This window comes from Homo sapiens, chromosome 9 (assembly GCF_000001405.40).
Source record: "Homo sapiens chromosome 9, GRCh38.p14 Primary Assembly".
In the NCBI taxonomy this organism is placed as follows: domain Eukaryota; kingdom Metazoa; phylum Chordata; class Mammalia; order Primates; family Hominidae; genus Homo; species Homo sapiens.
In genome coordinates this window covers 138,144,356-138,150,112 of record NC_000009.12, presented here as the reverse complement: position 1 = coordinate 138,150,112, position 5,757 = coordinate 138,144,356, and the positions used below count along the sequence as shown (strand labels likewise).

The 5,757-nt window shown below is 49.7% G+C and overlaps 1 annotated feature.

Annotated features, from left to right (window-relative positions):
• Positions 5,567–5,753: a silencer, noted in NCBI's record as "fragment chr9:141038812-141038998 (GRCh37/hg19 assembly coordinates)". NCBI's record gives its function as "represses an EF-1alpha promoter that drives an FKBP-Casp9 reporter gene in an ReSE screen in phorbol 12-myristate 13-acetate-treated (for megakaryocytic differentiation) K562 erythroleukemia cells {active_cell/tissue: K562(+PMA)}" and the evidence as "EXISTENCE:reporter gene assay evidence [ECO:0000049][PMID:32094911]".

Genomic DNA, 5,757 nt, shown 5'->3' with positions numbered 1-5,757 from the left:
GACACGGTTCGCGCGCGCCGCCCTCCGGGTTTGGCAGGGCCGGGCGCCCCCTCGCGGCAGCTCTGGGGAATCTCTGGAAATCAGCGCCTTGATTTTTTCCAGGCCGTGATTTTGGAAATTTCAACTGAACTGGAGACCACCATCCCGTGCCTTGACCGGAACGCATGGAGATAGCAATCGAAGAAGATGGCCAGTTCACGCCTGTAATCCCAGCACTTTGGGAGGCCGAGTCGGGCGGATCACTCGAGGTCAGGAAATCGAGACCATTCTGGCCAACATGGTAAAACCGCATCTCTACTAAAAATACAAAAATTATCTGGGCGTGGTGGCACACGCCCGTAGTCCCAGCTACTCTGGAGGCTGAGGCAGGAGAATCCCTTGAACCCGGGAGGCGGAGGTTGCAGTGAGCAGAGATCGCGCCACTGCACTCCAGCCTGGCGAGAGAGCAAGACTCAGTATAAAAAAAAAAAAAAAGAAAAAGAAAAAGAAAAAAATAAATAAAAAGAAAGAAGGAAATAAGAAGGAAGAAAGGAAGGGGAAGGGGAAGGGAGAAGGAAGTTAAGAAGAGACTCCAGGCTAGGTGCAGTGGCTCACGCCTGTAATCCCAGTACTGCGGAAGACTGAGGTGTAAGGATCACTCGAGCCCAGGAGTTCAAGACAAATCTGAGCAACGTAAAGATCCTGTTGTCTGTGCCAACATTTTGTTTTGTTTTGTTTTGTTTTTTTTGAGACGGAGTTTCACTCTTATTGCCCAGGCTGGAGTGCAATGGCGCGATCTTGGCTCACTGCAACCTCCACCTCCAGGGTTCAAACAGTTCTCCTGCCTCAGCCTCCTGACTAGCTGGGATTACAGGCGCGCACCACCATGCATGGCTAATTTTGGTATTTTTAGTAGAGACCGGGTTTTGCCATGTTGACCAAGCTGGTCTCAAACTCCTGACCTCAGGTGATCCCCCCACCAAGGCCTCCCAAAGTCATTCACGCCTGGGATTACAGGCGTGAACCACCGCGCCCGGCCAATTTTTTTTTTTAATTAGCTGTGCATGGTGGCTGGTGCCTATACTCCTAACTACTTGGGAGGCTGAGGCCGGAGGATTGCTGGAGCCCAGGAGACCGAGGCTGCAGTGAGCTGTAATCACACCACTGCACTCCAGCCTGGGTGATAGAGCAAGACCTTCTCTCTTAAAACAAAACAAACTGAAAAAAGGCTGGGTGTGGTGGCTCACGCCTGTAACCCCAGCACTTTGGGAGGCAGAGACGGGTGGATCACCTGAGGTCAGGAGTTCGAGACCAGCCTGGCCCACATGAGGAAACCCCATCCCTACTAAAAATACAAAAATTAGCCAGATGTGGTGGTGGGCACCTGTAATCCTAGCTACTCAGGAGGCTGAGGCAGGAGAATTGCTTAAACCCTGGAGGCGGAGGTTGCAGTGAGCCAAGATCGCACCACTGCACTCCAGCCTGGGCGACAGAGCAAGACTCTGTCTCAAAAAAAAAAAAAAAAAAAGAAAAAAGAAAAAGAAAAAAGAAAAAAAGATAGCCAGTAGACGAAACTCTATTTATTTTCTTTCTTTTCTTTTTACTCTTAAAAAGGGTCTCGCTCTGTCGCCCAGAATGGAGTGCAGTGCCCTGAGCATGATAATGTGCTACTTTTCCATTTTCCTGTGTTGTTTCCACTACGTTAACAAATAAGCCTTAAAACACCAAGCACTGGCCAGGTGAGATGGCTCACGCCTGTAATTCCAGCTACTCTGGAGGCTGAGGCAGGAGAATCGCTTGAACCCGGGAGGTGGAGGTTGCAGTGAGCCTAGATCGCGACATTGCCCTCCAGCCTGGGAAACCAAAGCGAAACTGTCTCAAAAAAAAAAAAAAAAAAAAACACGAGCACTGATCAGGGGGCGTCTGTTACCTCGGCCTCAGCCTGTGGCCCCTGCCAGTCCCCAACCTCCAGACCGCCCGACGGCACAACGGCGTCTCCACGTTCCTCCGCTTCTCCCGGGACCAGGGTCTCTCCCCAGAAACAAAATCGCATCAGTAACCGGCATCTTGTCCTGTGCTGGGGGTGAGCCGCCCAAACCTCCATGAAGGGACGCTGGTACAAAGTGAAGTCCGGGTACAAATGGCCAGACGGGAAACGCGCCGCGCTCGCTCCGCGGCACTCACAGCGGGGGCAGAAAGCCTTTTTCTCACTTTCTCCTCGGCGGCCCCAGGTGTCCCGGAGCGTCTCCCTGTCCTCACAGTGGACGCGGCCCCAGGTGTCCCCGGGTGTCCCAAAGCTCCGGCCCCTCCGGGGTGGGTGCTGAGGAGAGGAAGCTCCGTCCTCACAGTGGAAGCCCCACGACGCCGCCGTGCGGTTCGGACACGGTTCGCGCGCGCGGCCCTCCGGGTTTGGCAGGGCCGGGCGCCCCCTCGCGGCAGCTCTGGAGAATCTCTCAAAATCAGCGTCTGGATTTTTCCAGGCCGATATTTTGGAAATTTCGACTGAAATGGAGCCCGCCATCCCCTGCCTTGACGGGAACTCATTGAGATAGTAATCAAAGAAGATGGCCAGTTCACGCCTGTAATCCCAGCACTTTGAGAGGCTGAGGCGGGGGGATCACTTGAGGTCCGGCGTTCGAGACCAGCCTGGCCAACGTGGTGAACCCTCGTCTCTACTAAAAATACAAAAATTAGCAGGCATGATGGCGCGTGCCTGTAATCCCAGCTACTCTGGAGGCTGAGGCAGGAGAATCGCTTGAACCCGGGAGGCGGAAGTTGCAGTGAGCTGAGATTGTGCCACTGCACTCCAGCCTGGGCAACAGAGCGAGACTCCTTCTCAAAAAAAAAAAAAAAGAAAGAAAGAAAAAGAAGATGGCCAGTAGACAAAACTAAATTGATTTTCTTTCTTTTCTTTTTAAGAGACAGGGTCTCGTTCTGTTACCCAGGCTTGAGGACAGTGGCATAATCACAGCTCCTGGGTTCAGCTTCCAGCTCCCGGCTTCAAGAGATTGTCCAACCTCAGCCTCCCAAAGCACTGAGATTACAGGTGTGAACCACTGTGCCCAGCCCCACCTGATTTTCTTTTATTTATTTATTTTAATTATTTTATTTTATTTTTTATTGGGGGGGTGGGTCTCATTATATTGCCCAGGCTGGTCTAGAACTCCCAAGCTCAAGTGATCCTCCCAACTCAGCCTCCCAAAGTGCTAGGATTACATGCGTGAGCCACCATGCACTGCCTGACCTTCTTTCTATCAGCAATAATGTATAGGAATAATTTGAACTTGAAATAAAAAAAAACCATTTACAATAGCACCCCCAAAATTGAATTTATTAAGTATAAATGTAACACAATACATGTAAATATGCATTCAGAAAACCTTGGATCATGGTTGGGAAGAATAAAAAATATATAAATAAATGCAGATACTCCTTGTTTAGGAGCAGTACACTCATTACTGTTAGCTTTACCACAAAGCTAAAGTAATGAAGAGAGTGATATTGGTGAAGGAATGGACAAATAGATGAACGGAATAGAATACAGAACCCAAAAGACCCAAATAAATATAGTCAACTGCTTTTGTCAAAGGGGCAAAAATATTCAATGGGGAAAGAAAGAAAAGTCTGTTCCACAGATGGTGACAGAACAATCGGAAACCATAGGGAAAAAAATGAACGTAGATACAAACTTCATAGCTCACCCCTAAAAAATCACTCAAGATAGTCTGTAGACTTAAATTTTCAAATATAAAATTGTAAAAGTTATAGAAGAAAATCCATATGACTTTGGATTGGTGATGAGTCTTTAGATACAATATCAAAAGCCAGTTCATAAAATAAAAAAAGATAATGTGGACTTTATTAAAATTTAAAATGACTATTCTATGAAATATCCCGTTAAGAGAATCAAAAAACAAGCCACAGACTGAGAGAAAATATTTAAAAAACAAACTTGAAAAAGACTTGTGTGTAAAATATACAAACAAATTCTAATAACAAAAAGAAAAACAACCCAATTAAAAGATAGACACCTCACCAAAAAAGATATACAGATGACATGCCCGGGTGCAGTGGCTCATGTCTGTAATCTCAGCACTTTGGGAAGAGGAGGCTGGCAATCACTTGAGGCCAGGAATTTGAGACCAGCCTGGCCAACATGGCAAAATCCTGTATCTACTAAAAATACAAAAATTAGCTGGGAGTGGTGGCTCACACCTGTAATCCCAGCTACTTGGGAGGTGGAGGCAGGAGAATCACTTGAACCAGGGAGGCAGAGGTTGCAGAAAGTTGAGATCACGCCACTGCACTTCAGCCTGGGCGACAGACCAAGACACCATCTTAAAAAAAAAAAATGGAGTTTTGCTGTCACAAGCCAAGAAACTAACAGAAGCTGAAGAGAGGCCCAAAACGGATACTTCCCTAGTGCCTTCAGAGGGAGCATGGCCCTGCTGAGACAGAGTAGAAATAGGACTCGGCCCACCCCCACTAACGTGTTGTTCCATACATGCCCGCTGACCACCAGACCTTGCCGCACCACCCTCCAGGTGCTGTACTCGCTGGCCAGACCTTGCCAACTGTCTGAAATAAACTAAGATAAGCAGCATCTGGCCGTAAGTCTTACTCAAGGGAGTTGACTCTATCACCCACTTGTGCACGAGGCCAGGAGAATGACTGATCCTTACCCCTGGCCTCATTATAATACTAAAGTCCCCACCCCGGTATAGGCTTATCTGCTATTTTCTGATCACGCAACGTATGTGTTAGCACGATTCTTTACTGCATCTGAGCACCCTTCACTCCACCCTGTAGGTGTAACGACACTCACCTAACTCATAAATTATGCATGTCACCCTCCTTAAGACACCACAATGCACTCCCCTTGGTGAGCCAGCCAAGAATCCTTCCTCCTGGCCAACCTTTAGGGCATAAGACTTAATAAAGCCTTGTCTGGGAAACTTGCTTGGCCTTGTATCAACTTCTGTTTCATGGGAGCCTAAGAACATGTAGTCAGGAATGCTGCCAACATCTTTATTTCCAACTTCTGGACTTCAGAACTGAGACAAATCTCTGTGGTTCTAAGCTACCCATTTTGTGGCACTTTGTTACGGCAGCCCTAGGAAACAAACGCAGGCACGTTCTGCTCCATCTGCCGCTCTCTCCAGACCACAGCTCTCCCTCAAACCCACCCCATGAGAGGCTGAGGACAGAAGCAGGACCCTTCACAGGCCACCATCACTGCTGGATGGTCATTTCCAGCACTGACTGGGAGCTCCAGCCTCATCTCTCAGTTTCTAGGAGCAAGTGGGAGGATGAGGACAAGGAGGAATGAGGGCTCTGGCCTCCCGGGAACTGTCCCTGAACCTCCACCCTGCTGTCCATGAAGCTGCCCCTGAGCCTCCACCCTGACCTCAGCCCAGTGCTGTCCCTGAGCCTCCACCCTGCTGTCCCCAGAGCTGCCCCTGAACCTCCACCCTGACCTCAGCCCAGAGCTGTCCCTGAGCCTCCACTACTGCTGTCCCCAGAGCTGCCCCTGAGTCTCCACCCTTACCTTAGCCCAGAGCTGTCCCTGAACCTCCACCCTGCTGTCCCCGGAGCTGCCCCTGAGGCTCCACCCTGCTGTCCCCGGAGCTGCCCCTGAGGCTCCACCCTGCTGTCCCCGGAGCTTCCCCTGAGCCTACACCCTGCTGTCCCTGGAGTTGCCCCTGAGCCTCCACCCTGCTGTCCCCGAAACTGTCATTGAGCATCCACCGGGCTGTCCCTAGAGCCCAGAAAGCCTAG